The sequence below is a fragment of the Homo sapiens genome, chromosome 12 (genome assembly GCF_000001405.40).
Source record: "Homo sapiens chromosome 12, GRCh38.p14 Primary Assembly".
NCBI classification, from domain to species: Eukaryota; Metazoa; Chordata; class Mammalia; order Primates; family Hominidae; genus Homo; species Homo sapiens.
Window position 1 is genome coordinate 96,749,777 of NC_000012.12, and position 16,631 is coordinate 96,766,407.

The 16,631-nt window shown below is 37.2% G+C and overlaps 1 protein-coding gene across 2 annotated transcripts in view; it reads left to right on the plus strand.

The window, feature by feature from the left end:
- The window catches only part of CFAP54 (cilia and flagella associated protein 54), a 385,979-nt gene that overhangs the window by 260,200 nt on the left and 109,148 nt on the right, over nucleotides 1-16,631 (plus strand). For both annotated transcript variants that reach the window (NM_001367885.1, NM_001306084.2), the window contains 5 exons: nucleotides 3,967-4,122; nucleotides 6,682-6,787; nucleotides 7,719-7,812; nucleotides 14,375-14,473; nucleotides 15,301-15,442. In NM_001367885.1, coding sequence (NP_001354814.1) covers nucleotides 3,967-4,122; nucleotides 6,682-6,787; nucleotides 7,719-7,812; nucleotides 14,375-14,473; nucleotides 15,301-15,442 — 597 coding nt within the window. The remainder of the gene's footprint in view (nucleotides 1-3,966; nucleotides 4,123-6,681; nucleotides 6,788-7,718; nucleotides 7,813-14,374; nucleotides 14,474-15,300; nucleotides 15,443-16,631) is intronic.

The window sequence follows — 16,631 nt, forward strand, 5'->3', positions numbered from 1 at the left end:
TACTGCCACCTTTTCTGGGGGTTATATTTATTCTTCCTCTTGTCAGCTGCTGGATCTTTTTTGCCAGGCTATTTTACTTTGTCTGTTTATTGTGGGTCATGTCTAGCTGTTGGATTAATTTCAGTAGTGGCCATGCTGCAAGTGGTGGTTAAGAATAGCTAGTTCTGCCTATATGGGTTGGCTGTATACCAGACTTCAAAAGTTCAATTCCCTGTGAAGCACCAGGAGAAGCAGCAAAGGCCAATATTCTTTAGTTTCAGGAGTGAAGAGGACTCAGGCCACCTTCAAGCCCCTCACAGGTCCTGGAAAACCAAGAAGGCAGCCAGCCAGAGCTGTCACTCTTTGGAGCTAGAGACCTTGTTCCAAGCTCTTTTTGGATGCTGTCCCTGATTTTTGATCCAAGGCTGCCTGCCCTGGTTCCCAGGCTCTTGTCCATCCCAGAGTGCAGAAGATCCTGTACCAGCTCTGTCTGTTCTTACCCGTCACCTTCTAGGACCCACCTGTCTCCTGCAGCAGCAGCAGCAGCAGCAGCAGCAGCTCTGGAGAAGCTGATATTGGATTAGATTGGGAAAGGGAGGGCAGAAAGGCATGCCCAAGCTATCAACTGTGCAGAATCTCCCATCTCCCTTCTGTTCCTCCCTCTCGTTATTATTATTGATCATTGTTATATGTTGATGATCATCATCACATATGAATTTTATAACTTGACATAAATTACTTCCCCTTTATATTAAGTTTCCTCCTTTATAAAGTTAGGCTGACTTAATTGGCCTCTTGAATTCCTTCCAGCTTGTTGATCTCATGAGAGCTATTTTTCTCTATTTTCAGTCTACAGTTTCTTCAATTATCAGGACATTTGATTTCTACAGGAGCTTAAAATACAGATTGTGTTAAATTGTACAGATTGTGTTAAATCAAATATATTCTGTACTTTTCTGACTTACTAATCTTGAGGATGTGTCACCACTCAATGACAATACTGTTGCCGTGTTTTAGAGTCACTTAAGGCTGAACAGCTTGCTTCCTGGTGTATTATATTAAACACAGACTTAAAAAACAAAACCCAAAGCAGCTTTTCTGTCAAAACAACATCAGTTTTACAACGTCTTTTTCACAGAGTTGATATTTACTGGAAAAAGGAGCACTTAAATATTATAAAGCATAAAATCAGCTGTGACTTGATGCTTTCTTGATAATTTTCCTTTATAGTATAGATTGTGTCACACAAATGGACTACTTAAAATTTTTTTTCATGTGAAAGTCTCTGATAGAAAAAGGCATTTAGAGATTTTTTTATAAGACAAAAATAAACATCATGGTTATTTAAAATCTTTTTTTAATTAATGACTGAACCTTGAGCTTCCTTATTACATGAAAAAGTAGATTACTGATTCTATGATAGGAGTGAATGAAAGTTACTTACATTTCTTATGTTTATTCAATCAGCAAACATTCATTGAGGGCCACTTATATGCAAGAATGGTGCTGGGAAGTGGGGACATACTAGGAAGCCAGTCCTCATCTCTGCCCTCAAGAAGCTTATTATCTAGTTAGGGAGGGAGAGAAAATAGTTCATAATCCCTGTAACAATTCTAATTTTAACAAAAATCTAGAAGACAATTCAAGTATTATTTTTATATATTAGTGCCATTATCATATTGTATATCATACCATATCATGTATCATATCATATGGCACTAATATATAATATAAACTGTATAGTACTAATACATATTATATATACATATATGTGGCATGATGACATGAAGTATTTGTTATTTTTGTCTTATATTGATATTTGGTATAATATGAAACAATAAGTGAAATATACAAAAAGGGGAGATGTTGAAATATGGTTGTGCTGAACAAATTAGCATATCTTTTATTTCCCTTCTAGCCTGGGATCTAATCACAGTTGATAATTGTTGAGGTTAAGAGTGTGGGCTCTAAGAAGGAATTCTTATTCAATTCAATCCCCTTGAACAAGTCATTTAACTTCCCTTGTTTTCATTTCCTCTCCTATAAAATGTGGGTGAGTGCCAATGTCATTAGCCTCTGAGATGACGTGAGTGGCATGCATAACATATTTAGAAGGGCACCTCCTCACTTGTTTTAAGAGCTTTGTAGGTGTCAGCTGTTCTTCCTGTTCCATGCCTGGCCTCCTTACTCTTCTGGGAGCCTCCCAGAAGCAACGGCTTTTCCTCTCCATATTCTTCTTCTCCGTATTCACTTTGTCATCTCCGTATTCTCATCAGTGTGCTGCCATCCCGCCTGGTTCAGAGTAAGGACTCAGTAACTTCTTCCTGGATGAGAGAGAGAGAGAGAGAGAGAGAGAGAGAGAGAGAGAGAGAGAGAGATTGAGGCTGTCCATCATCCTGCCATTCACATAGCACATGCCTGAATTAAAAGTTTACAAAAAGTTCTAGATTTAAAAAAATATATCCTTTGTAGGGCATAGCAACTTGGAATTAGAAAATTTCAGAACCTAAAGATACCTCACGATTTTGTAGTTCTGCTGCATTTTATTTTTTAGCATTTAGTAGCCAAGAAATGTTTTAAAGACATGTAATACCCAATATTTCAATCATTTTTTCAGAGGACGCTCAAGGCTTGGAGGCATGTGGGGACTTGTTCAAAGCCTCAATGATATGGTAGCACCAATGACTGGCCAGGATCCAGCACTTCAGCTAGAATTCAGTATCTGTATCAGAGTCCTACACTGCCTTTCTGTTTATATTACTTTATTGTGTGTTCAATTATCCAATCAATTAATTATTTCTCCTACTTCCATTCTCCTCTTTATGCCAACTTTTTTGTTCTTTAAAATTACCAAAGAGAAGGTGTTCATCTGCTTTTAGCCTAGACAGCCACATTCTCTGGGATGGTTTCCCTAACTCCCCCAATCTGGGCCTGCTAGCAAAGTGCCCCGTGCTTTCTCTGCTACACAATTGGCCATGCAGTATTTTGATTGCCTGTCTGGCTATTCATATTCTCCATTAAACAAAACACTAGGCTTCATGACCTCCCTCTTAAGAGATAGTGCAATGTTGTAGTTTAGAGTGTGGGCCCTGGAGCCAGACTGCCTAGGTTCAAATTACGGCTCTTCTGTTTACCAGCCATCTAACCTTGGGTGAGTTGCTGAAACCTCACTGAGCTACTGCTTTGTCCTCTGTCAAATAAGCTTGATAATGGTGCCCACTCAGAGTTGCGGGGATCATATGAGTAATGCATTTAAGTCCTTCAGAGGGTGGCTGGAATGTAGGACACATTTAATAAATCTTAGCTCTTATTATTTTCTTTTTTCGTTTTTGTCAAGTACCTAAGCACTTAGAAAATATTTGTTGAATAAATGTCTGCCTGTCTGGCTCTGGGGTCACACAGATAAAGTCTAATGTCTCTTCCATACAATGGTTTTTTAAGTAAAAACATGTTAAATAATGATGGGGCCTAATAAAAAGCATAGCATGTAGTCCTTGTCCATCATGGGTTTGCTGTCTAGTGGAGATGACAAAACAAAACAAAACAAAACACACAAAGCAAGTAACCACTATAATGCTTAATAGAAAGAAAATTACTGCCCATTAATATTTGCAAATTTTATTGGGAACAACATAAAATTTCCAGGTGTTTCCCTATTAACAACTTCATCTTAGCAGCATGAAAGTTGTTCTGTAGAGCATTGTGAATTTTAGAAGGAAAGGGTTTTGAGAGATTATCCTTCATTTAAAAAAGAAGAAAACATGTTAGAAATGTATCAAAGAAAAAATTTCAAAGGGTTATTACTGTAGTTCATTGAAATATTGGGTATTATATGTCTTTAAAACATTTCTTGGATGCTAAAAACTGTAAAAACTACCAAAGTTCTTGATAGATTTCATTACTGTGAGAGCAGTCTGGTAACTTGGAGGCTTGTTATAAACACCGTGTATTTTTTTGTTCTTCCCCACCGAACTGTTTTTCTTTTAGGACATACAGTGGCCAAGCAAGTATATTACAAGAATAAAAGGAAGGACCCCTCGAAGTGGTTACCTGCTCTTCATCTGTTTGATGTGGCACTGAAGCTCTGTAGAACAACAGCAGTGGAGGAACATGAGGTGGAAGCTGAAATCCTTTTTCAGAAAGGTAAAATGCATCTGGGGTCAGAACTATGATAAAATTTATGGAATTCTTTTTTCTGTCAACAACAGGATTCTTGAAAATCTGGTCCCTGACTATAAAAATTACAAACATACAAAGGGCTTAGAGATGATTAACACAATGGTACCTCCACCAAATCCAGTCTTAGGTAAAAGAATGCTGTTTATTTTATGTCTAGAAAGAAAAAAGTACTACTGCTTCATTTCTTTTATAATTGTAATTGATTCTTCTTACACAAAGTTTCAGGTTTGACTGAAAAATGGCAGCATAGCCTCTTAGCTATAAATAATATTACTTAAATAATGCTTGGAAGACATTTTTTCTGCATCATTTCATTACTTAGCTAAACATTTTGGTTAATTTTTATAAGTAAGAGATACATACTCATTGAAATTAAATAGATATAGCACACCTATACTTAAAACTTATATATAACACCTATTTCCTCAAGACATTTATATAATTTTATTGTGGGCATTTTACCTCTGAGAAAAAGATAAGGATGAGTGCTATCATTTACTGAGTATCTATTAAATGCTAGGTGCTGTATTCAGTATGTTCAATATGTATCTCATAGTGCTAATTCTTAAAATAGCTCTGCAAGGTAGGCATGACAAATCCTGCTTGATGATGAGGAAAATTAGGTGCGGTCTGGTTAAGTGACTTTCCAAAAGTCAACAGCCACTAAATGATAGTGCCCAGATGTGAGCTCAACACTGGCCAGCTCTGTGCCCTTTCCACAGGCTGCATGAAAGCTGTGAATCCTTTCTATAGTGATTATAGAAGTTTCCTTTCCCATCCTTGTTGCTACCCATGTGCTCTGCTAGTGCCTACATTTTTTTTTTTTTGAGGTGTAGTCTCGCTCTGTTGCCCAGGCTGGAGTGCAGTGGCATGATCTTGGCTCACTGCAACCTTCGCCTCCTGGGTTCAAGCAATTCTCCTTCCTCAGCCTACTGAGTAACTGGGACCATAGGCGTGCACCACCACACTTGGCTAATTTTTGTATTTTTAGTAGAGATGGGGTTTCACTATGTTGGCCAGGCTGATCTCGAACTCCTGACCTCAAGCTATCCACCCGCCTTGGCCTCCCAAAGTGCTGGGATTGCAAGCATGAGCCACCAGGCCCAGCCTGCTAATGCCTATATTTGAAGGCTGCAGCTCACCATGAGGGCTGGGAGCTGTGAGGGCCAGCGCATTTGCATTATCATAGAGAGTTTTCAGCCATTTGCTGACTTTTTAGGATTTATTTTTTCTCCTTAGGTTTGTGATTTTTCTAAAATTTTAAAAGTGTTTTCAATTTATTTTTAACTGACAAAGCAATTGTATATATTTATGGGGTATAGTGTGACGTTTTTGATACATGTATATATTGTGGCATGATTAAATCAAGCTAATTAGCATATCCATCACTTCACATACTTATCATTTTTTTGTGGTGAAAGCATTTAAAATCTATAATTATTATTAATTATAGTCACCATGTTGTACAATAGGTCTCCAGAACTTATTCCTCCCATTTAACTGAAACTTTGTACCCTTTGACCAATATCTCCCTATTCCCCCACCCTCCCTGACTTTTTAAGATTCTTCAGTTAAGTGAGATCACGCAATATTTGTCTTTATGTGCCTGGCTTATTTCACTGAGAATAATGTCCTCCAGGTTCATCCATGAGGTCTTCAAATAACAGGATTTCTTTCTATTTTAAATAGTATTCCGTTGTGTATATATATCACATTTTCTTTTCTTTTTTCCTTTTTTTTTTTTTTTTTTTGAGACTAAGTCTCACTCTGTCACCCAGGCTGGAGTGCAGTGGTGTGATCTCGGCTCACTGCAACCTCCACCTCCCAGGTTCAAGTGATTCTCCTGCCTCAGCCTCCTGAGTGGCTGGGATTACAGGCGCGCACCACCATGCCAGGCTAATTTTTGTATTTTTAGTAGAGATGGCGTTTCACCATGTTGGGCAGGCTGGTCTCGAACTCCTGACCTTGTGATCCGCCCTCCTCAGCCTCCCAAAGTGCTGGGATTACAAGCGTGAGCCACCACGGCCAGCCATATCACGTTTTCTTTATCCATGCACCTGTCGAAGGGTACTTAGATTGATTCCATATCTTGGCTATTGTGAATAATGTGAATAATGCTACAATGAACATGGGAGGGCAGATGTTTTCTATGATATCTGTGAAGGAGACAGGGGAAGGAGGAGAATGCATGTCAAAAAAGGGAATGTAAGATACAGGAGGAGGGAGAAGCACAAAGTAAGGGAATGGAGAGAGAAGTTAGATGGGAAGATGGGAAGACCAGTTGTGTAGGGCAAGCCAAAGAAGGCTTGCCTCATGTTGCTTCCTGAATGCAGGGGAAGCCTGAGGGTTCTGAAGAAGGAGGCAATGGATCTTTCCTCATTGGCTTACCTTCTGGAAGAAATAGACAGACATACAAAAGGACAGCACATCAAATATTCTGAATTTCCAGCATGAAATATTTGTTCTTAAGTTCTAAGTGCTAGAAAAAGGAAAAACCATCTTTGTATCTTTTTCTTCTTTCAGGCAAAATAGAACGTCAAATACTAATGGAAGAGAAATCTCCAAGTTTTCAACTTGAGAGTTTATATGAAGCTATACAACTAAGCCTGAAAAATGATCAAAACTCAGGGTAAAAAGATATTCCATTGTTGTAGCTGTGTGTGTTTGGCTTGAGCCCCGTGTTCTTGTAGTACATTGACCACTCAAGGCTGGATTGCTTGGGATGCCTTCTGAAAGCAGGGCTAGTTCATGGGGTCCATCTCAAGCTTGTTGCTCTTTGTTCTGACCCAAAGCCTCCTTTAAAGTAATGGTAAATGATGGCTGTCCTCATAGTGGGATATTGGCCTGTACCCAGATCTCGTGTCAGTCCCAGGATTTCTGGGGCCTCCTCAGGATGACTGGCTTCTAAACTGGAAGATCCTTCCCTAAATGTGCAGTTGTGTCTAGAAGGAGTTCGTGTGGCTGTGAATTCACTCTGGTCATCAGGACCAGGACTGGCCAACTTAATTCTTAATTCTGTATGAATATCACCTCAATATTGAGTAAGCCACCTTTATTACAACTGCACTGATCCAGGTGCACTGATCCCCAGCTGACAGATTTGATAGTGAATACATAGACCTAACCCATACCAAATCACTGCTTTCTGCATTGCATAACTCTATGTATTTCTTTCTATTTTAATTAGTGTAGGAGGATAGAGAGGGGCCTCCATTTTCAAGGCAAATTCCTCCAGCCCTGACCTTCACTGATTTAGTGTCTTGTGTGCTAGAATATTCCAGAATGGTCTTGATGCCAGGCTTCCTGGCAGTTATAGCATGGAGTGTTGCCACCACAGGAAAAGGCAGAGTGCTAAGCTCTCTTCCAGAACTTCCAATTTTAGTAGGGAGGAAGATGCTAGTATCTATGGTCAAAAGTGCTATGAAAAGAGGGTGTGTGTTTGTGACAGATGCTGGTTTTGCCAGTTTTTACCTTTCATCAGCTCAGAAATTGTTGGCAAATGATACCAATGATTATGCATGGTGAAGCTATTTAATAAGTACAGTGCTATATCATTTTAGATTGATAAGAGACTCCTACCTAGAAATGGCTCTATTGTATTTTCATCTGAAGAAGCCAAAGATAAAAATTTCAGGATCACCATTAACACTTAAGGTAAGAGTCTATTTTATTAGAAATTATGAGTTAATTGCCTTTGAGCTTGCTATTTTGGTAACACTGTGCTATTGAAATAATGAGGCTGATTTTCCTGTGTGGCTTGGAGAAATTAATTCATTTCTTTGTAGTTACACTTGTAACTATGTTACAAAGAGATATCTCTTTGGACATTTTATATAGGGCTTTGGAAATTATTTTTATATACACATTTCTGCCTGTGAAAATGTTATCCATAAAATGTAACTGTACATAAATATATACTTAATATATAAATATACAGTTATGTTTCATGGATAACATAAATGCAAGGCAATGAATGAGTCATTAGTATTGATCAGGAAAATTCAAGAAATGACATATTGGTTAAACAGATGGACAAGTGAAGTTTTCAATACTGATATGGCCTATAAACAGATTACCTCTTGATAGAATCATTCATACATTCATCACGTATCTATTGAGCATCTACTATGATCCAGGTACTCTCATAGAGGAAGATGTTAAAGCAGTGTCTAAAACAAACTTGGTCCCTGTTCTCATGGAGCTTGCCTTTCAGTAGAGGAAAACAGATAATAAACCAGTAAAGGAAGGAGATCAGAGGAGGAAAGGTGGGAGGAAATGAGGGAGAAGGAGGGGAAGGGCATGTATTAGTTCATTTTCACGCTGCTAATAAAGACATACCTGAGACTGAGTAATTATAAAGGAAAGAGATTTAACGGACTCATAGTTCCATGTGGCTGGGGAGGCCTCACAATCATGGTGGAAGGCGAAAGTCACATCTTACATGGCAGCAGACAAAGAATGAGAACCAAGTGAAAGGGGTTTCCCCTTATAAAACCATCAGATCTCCTGAGATTTATTCACTACCATGAGAACAGTATGGGAGAAACTGTCCCATGATTCAGTTATCTCCCACCAGGTCCCTCCCACAATGTGTGGGAATTTGGGGAGCTACAATTCAAGATGAGATTTGGGTGAGGACACAGCCAAACCATATTAGGGGGTGACTTAGGTAGTGAAATTTGGAGCTAGGAATAACTTGTATTGGTGGAATTTTCAATGAATGACCTGAGAAGGGGTGATGTTTGAAGTAGGGTTTAATGAATGAGGAGGGACCCCAGCAAAGAGTTGCAGAGGGGTCGCATCTTGTAGCTAGAGCAGTGCTTCCAAACTAAGATGTGGAAACACCTCTGAAAATCTTGTGAAATGGCAGACTCTGATTCAGTAAATCAGGGATGGGCTCTGAGATTTGGCATTTCTAACGAGCCTCCCAGGTGATGCTGATGCCGCCGGTCTGTGGGCCACACGTGAGGACCAAGGTTCTAGACTCAGGGAGATCCCAGATGCAGGAATAATTTGGGTGGGTTTGAGGTATATGAACCCAGTAATTTTATTTTTTGTTTTTAAAATTTTAGTGGGCTTTTCTGTTTCATCCTTATTGAATAATCATTTGACCCTCCAAGAGATCTTTTCAGAAAATGTTGGCATCAAATCTTTAATTTTTGAGACAACATAAACATGATTTAAAACCTTTAGGCAAATAGAGTCTCAGTCAATTCTTACCAATTATTCATATGGCAGCTGCCATTCATATGGCAGCTGCCTTAGGTAAATGGCCCCTCTTTTTTTAATCAAAATAATTGCAAACTAGAAAAAGTTACTTTGTGTTGTTTGATAAACATGTTTATTTCCAGTAACAGAAAAAAAAAAAACCCTTGTTTTTATAGCAGGTGGCAATACAAATTAATAGGATGCTAGGATGATAATATATCAGCTTTCTGGCCCTTACTAGAGAAGTGCTTATAATTAAGAACATAAAGAAGTTAGAATCTGAATGAAAACAGTAGTGTAATTCCTTACAATATGATCATTATTTTCTGTATGTTTTGACATAGTATAAATATTTTAGCAAGTCATAGAATTATTGGAAGCACAGAAAACAGCCAAAACCAATTTAAAAAATTCATGCAGACATATTCAGACCATGGAAATATAACATTTGAAATATGTCCTAATAAAGACAACACATTATAAGCCCTTAAAAGGAAGCACTATTGTTTCACTTTTATGTAGTGTCCATACAGCAGAGTGACCATAGTACCTGTGTGGGTTTGAATCCTAGCTTCACAACTTACTAGCTATGTGACTGAGGTCTTTCTAAGCCTAGTTTCCTCGCCTGTGAAATGGAGATGAGGATCCTTACCTCTTAGAGTGGCTCTGAGAATTAAACAAGATAATGGGCTTGTATGTAATAAGTACTTATATAAATGGAACTATTATTTCTCGTTATGTAACATCAGCTAAACGTCTTTATTCTTCTTCCTATTTTGTTAGTAGGTACTCAATAATTGATGCCTGTTGACATCACTATTTCTTAAACATTCATTTATTTACTCATGAACTGAACACTTACTGAGGGCTTAATGTACATTAACCACTTTCTTTTCCTAAGGATCACAGAGACTAGCAAGAGAGATAAATAATTGTATTGCAATGTGACAAGGACTATAATCACAATTTGTCAAGGTGGAGAAGTGGGGCAAAGTAGGGACTAATGCTGTTTTGGGGAAATGCTGGAGAAGGCTTCACAGATGAAGTACATTTTGAAGGATAAGTGGAGTTCTCCAAGTAGTTATGTGGGAGAAAACAGTCCACAGAGAGATCAGCATGCATACATTTAAAAAAAAACTAGAGGTATAATTTCCATCCATGAAATTAATGCATTTTAAGACTGCAGTCCACAGATGTTTAGTAAATTTACAGAGTTGTTCAACAATCACCACTATCCAGTTTTAGAACATTTTCATCATCCCAAGAAAGATCCCTTATGCCTATTTGCAGTCAATCCTGTTCCCACCCCTAGTCCCATGAAACCACCAAACTGTTTTCTGTCTCTATAGATTTGCCTTTTCCAGACATTTCATGTAAATAGAATGATAGAGTTTATTTAAGTTTTTCTGAGACAGAGTCTTGCTCTGATGCCTAGACTGGAGTGCAGTGGCGTGATCTAGGCTCACTGCAACCTCCGCCTCCTGGGTTCAAGCAATTCTCCTGCCTCAGCTTCCCGAGTAGCTCGGACTACAGGCATGTACCGCCATGCCCAGCTAATAGAATAATAGATTTTGTCTTGTTTATGCCTGCTTCTTTCACCCAGTATAATGTTTCATAGGTTGACCCATGTTGTAGTGTGTAACGGTAGTTTTGTTGTTGTTGTTGCTTAATAGTGTCTCATTATATGGATATGCCACTTTTTTTTTCTTTATCCATTCAGTAGTTGATGGACATTTGAATTGTTTTCACTTTTTGGCTGTTTTGATAAATGATGTTTTGCACATTCATATACAAGTTTTTTTGTGGACATATGTTTTCAATTCTTTTGAGTATATACCTAAGAGTGAAATTGCTGGGTTATATGGCAACTCTATGTTTAGCCTTTTGATGATCTGTCAGATTGTTTTCAAAGGTGGCTCTACCATTTTACATCCTTACCAGCAGTATATGAAGGTTGCAATTTTTCCACATCCTTGCTAACACTTGTTATTATCTACCTTTTTGGTAGTACCCATGCTAGTAGGTATGAAGTGGTATCTCACTGTGGTTTTGATTTGCATTCCTCTGGTGGCTAATGATGCTTGGATATTTTCATGTGCTTATTGGCCATTTGTGTATCTTCTTTGGGGAAATGTCTATTCAGATCTTTTGCCCATTTTTATTGGGTCATTTGTCTTTTTTTATCATTAGCTTTGAGAGTTTTCTTTTTTAAAAATATATGTATTCTAGATACAAGCCCCCTATCAAATAAATGATTTGCAAATATTTTCTCCTGGTTAGTCGCTTGTCCTTTCATATTGTTAGTAGTGTCTTTGGAGGCACAAAGTTTTTAAATTTTAATGAAGTCCAAATTGTCATTTTTTTCTTTTATAGATTGTGGGGTTTTTTTTGCGGCATATCTAGCACCCTTTGTCTAACTGCAGATGTTGAAGATTTTCTTATATGTTTTCTTCTAGAAGTTGTATAGTTTTAACTTTTACATTTAAGTCTGTGATCCATTTTGAGTTAATACTTGGGTAGAGTGTGAGGTAAGATTCTAAATTCTAAATTCATCTTTTTGTCCATGAATATGCAGTTGTCTCAGCACCATTTGTTGCAAAGACTTATCCTTTTCTCGTTGGATTGCTTTGGCACTTTTGTTGAAAATTAATTATAAATGCAAATGTTTATTCCTGGATTTTCAATCCTGTTTCATTGACCTCTAAATCTACCTTTACTTGAGTTTCCACTGTCTTGGTTCCTGTAGCTTTTAGTAAGTTTTGAAATTGTAAAGTGCATGTTCCAACTATATTCTTCCTTTTCAAAACTGTTTTGGCTACTTTGACTCCTTTGCATTTCACTATCTATTTTAGGATCTGCTTGTCAATTTCTGCAAAAAAAACTAAGGAGATTTTTGTTGCCATCTTAACAATATTAAGTCCCCTAATTAATGAATATGGACTGTCTCTTCATTTATTCTGACCTTAATTTCTCTCAACAAAGTTTTGTCTTTTTAGTGTATGAGTCTTATACATTTTTGTTATTTCTATTGTCAAAGGGATTTTTGTTTTAATTTTTAGATTGCTTATCGCTAGTATATAAAAATACAGTTCATTTGTGTGTATTCATTGTTTTGCGTCCTGTGACCTTGCTAAACAAGTTTAATAATGTTAATTGTGTTTGTGTGTCTGTTTGTGTATTCCTTAGGATTTTCTACATATAGGATCATGTCTTCTGCAAAGAAAGACACTTTACTTCTTCACTTCCAATCTACATGCATTCCACACCCCTTGCCCGGGTTTTCTTTCCTGTTTACATAACCTAGAATCTCCTGTGCAATGTCGAACATCTCCCCCATCTGGAAAACGCCCACCATATTCTTTGTCCACTCCAAATTTTTCTATGGTGGGCTCAAGCCCAACTTCCTCAATAAAGGTTTCCTTTCCATTGGAGTTGACTTCTTTTTTCTTTGAATGGCTGGGTCACTAGTTGGTCTTACATTATAGTTATTTAATGTTGTTCTCTATTCTTCATTACATGCCTGTTAGTCTTGTTACCAGAATTTAAGTAGATAAATTGCCCATGCTTATGTAGTCAGTAAGTTAGCAATTGTTACTCCAGATTAGTCCCATTACAGCTAATGATTAGGGTTTTTTTTTTCTTTTTTTTATCTTGGAATGGGGTTATATTGCTTAGATTTCCCCATAGGTAGATCTTTCCAGGTGTCATCTTCTCCCAGGCTTAATGCTAGAGCTAAGCTAGGCCACATTTACGCCTTATACTTGTTGCTTTGACATCAGCATTGTACACGGCCTTTCTTTTTCTCTGGGAGTCTTCTAGCCAGAAGTAAAATAAAGATACTTTTGTTATTGTTTGTTTTATTCTGCAGGTTCATTGAAAATTAAAGAATTGGTCAAAATATGGGCATCAAAGAATTAGCACCCGTGGGGCTAATTGAATTGTTAGCTCCATCCAGATGATTTAAATCTTAAGAAACTACTACTACTTATTTTAGTTGTCTTTAAAAATGTACAGCAGATACTAGCTACTGGTGGAGTTTTGTTCTGTTCACTTCTGTAGCATTGACTTTCTATGTTTAAAAACTGAATATATATTTTTAAAATATATATTCATTCTTTATTAAAGAAACCCCCATGGTAAAAAAAATCCTCAATCATTGTTTGTTTGTTTTGCTATTCTATGGAACTTTATGATAATACTATCTCTTTAATATTTTTCTTAGCAGGAAATATGATAGCAAATACTGCCAAAAATCTTTAAGCAATGTTGTAATTTCTGATGCTGTTACACAATATATTCAACTTATAGGTTTTCTATTATAATGGCACTTAATTTTACTTAAGATGCCATTTTTGGATGGGCATAGTGACACATGCCTGTAATCCCAGCACTTTGGAAGGTTGAGGTGGGCCGATCACCTGAGCTCAGGAGATCAAGACCAGCCTGGGCAACATGGTGACACCTTGTTTCTACAAAAAATACAAAAACTAGCTGGGTGTGGTGGTGCATGCCTGTAGTCCCAGCTACTTGGGAGTCTGAGGTAGAAAAATTGTTTGAACCTGGGAGGCAGAGGTTGCAGTGAGCTGAGATTGTGTCATTGCACTCCAGCCTGTGTGACAGAGCAAGACTATGTCTCAAAAATGTATATATATAATTTTTGTTAACTTATTACACAAATAATTCAAATTCATTATAGAAAATTAGAAAAAAATGATAAGAATAATTTAACTACCTTAAAACTTGGGATAACTGCTGTTAATAATTTTCTCTGCTTTTATGTACAGGGAATGTATATGTGTGCATATTTTTTAAAAAGAAGGATTGTACTTTTCATACAATTTTGTAACCTACACTTTTCTTTCCTCAATGTATTTCGAATATCTTCTCATGTCAATAGATACATTATTATCCTTAGTGACTACATAGCATTTCACTAAAATGTCATCTTCAGAAGATGAGAAGAGTTATCACAAAACTTTATATCATAACACATTTGCCATATTTTTAGCCTCCTCTCAGAAGAAGTAGTTCTGTTAAAGAAACATCAGCAAATAAATTTGAAATGTACAGTTCATTAGCCTGGATTGCAATAAGAGCTGCTGCACAGGTTGGTGTGATTTTTGTTTAATCTTTCTTCTTACTGTCATATCTGTATTCTCTGCCTTTAAAGAACACAATATACCTGTAAAAGAGAAAGGAGTTGGGTGTGATACCTCATGCCTGTTATCCCAGCACTTTGGGAGGCTGAGGCAGGAGGATCACTTGAATCCAGGAGGTCGAGACCAGCCTGGACAACATAGCAAGAGCCCATCTCTACAAAAAATTTAAAAATTAGCTGGGCATGGTGGCATGCCTATAGTCTCAGCTACACAGAAGGCTGAGGCAAAAGGATTGCTTGACTCTGGGAGGTCGAGGCTGCAGTGAGCTGAGATCCCACCACTGCACTCCAGGCTGGGGAACAGAGTGAGATCCTGTCTCAAAAGAAAAAAAGAAAAAAAAATTACATTATTTGGGATTTGTGCCAATTATGTTTCTTTGGAAAGATTAGAAATACTAGTTATGTTTAGTGTTTTCAATCTCTCTATTAGCCAGACTTAGTTCTCTTTGTTTCACCTTTTCTCAGTGAAACTATTGGCAGATATACATGTGTACATATTTGACATTTTGGCAACTATCTGTCATAGCTAGGTAAGGTAGCTTATTTAAAGTGATTTATGCATTAATTAAATTGTCAACCCTAAATTATTTGTTTGACTATGATATATTCTACATATCAGGGATCACATATTATTTTTTCAGGTTGTCTTTATTTTTTCCTCCAATGTATAAGGAATATTATTTTATGAATTCACTTTTTTCACATTATTTACCTAATAGATAATCTATGAATTAGAAAGCTTATATTTATAATTCTAATTTATGCATTAATTGTAGGTCAGTGAAGCTGTGCTGGCAATTAACTTACTTATTGGAAAGAAGAATACTAGAATGCATAAAGTTAACCAAGTGGCATTACCAAATATCCCAGAATTTGCTGCTCTGGATCTTTTGTCTTCGTATACAGATTATTTGCTTGGTATGTTTGGATGTCTACATATTATGCAAAAAAACTGATATATGTAATATAGAATCAAGTTTCAAAGATTTAATTGTAATTTGTTGGCTTTTAGCTTAGATGGGATAATGTTTGGGGGCACTTCCAGGGGATCATAGGGGTCCTAGGGCCAAAATAGAGGGCTCTTAGCTCACTGCACATGTGTACCTGTTACTCAGTCAGCTGCTGCATTTCAGATGCATGTTCTTTTAAAAAAATGATATTTTACATCTGTTTCTTTTCCAGTTCACACATATCAAATGGGACCTTTTGGGACTGTTTGCCTCTCTGATCCTTTCATCCAAAATCTACATGCACTCTCCCACTCTGATATGCCTCCCTCTTCTTTTCCTTAGTGATTTTATATTTGTATATATGTTTGATTATGTGTTTAAGCTCTTTCTCTCATTAAATTATCATCAGCTACCTGAGAGCAGGGTCTTCATATATTCAATTTTCATCTACAGCAAATTGCACAGTGCTTGCACATAGCAGACATTCAATATCAACATTTGTTAAATGAATTAATGAAAGAAATTAGCAAAATTTAAACTGGACTGCAATACTGTTTATGTTTTTGCTTAGTTACTCCTTTGATAGTAAACTATAATATAAACCTCTATATCAGATAACTGGTAACAGGCATTTAACATTCATTTATGTGTTTTTCCATTATTTCACTCAAAAAATATTTATTGAGTGCTTCTTGTGTGCTAAGCACTTGGATAGGTGCTAAGAAGCAAGACACTAGTCTTACTTCCAGACTGACATTTCACTAACATCCACCTCTAATTTTGCTTGGTGCTAGGCCAGCATTGAGCCAAAGGAGAAGAGTTTTAACCTTCTCCTTTGGGAGTGATCTTCCTAATACTTCTGGAATCACATCTGTAGACAGCGTCTTACTCTGCTGCATTGTTGGGTCAGCCTTAGTTAAAGTGTTAATGTCTAACGTCCCCCTCTTTGGCTCTTTTCTGAAGCATAGGTGTCCCAAATTATTTTGCAAACTATTTTATAGATTTTTTTTTACGCTGAGGTTTTGTTTTCTTACTTTTATTTCCTTCGTGCCTGGGAGAATTTTGCTTTATTGGCTTTCTGAGCCACAGCCTGAACATCAGACTGGGTGCTTGCTCTTCTTTAAGGTTCCCATAGGTGGGTTCTCTGGGGACAAAGC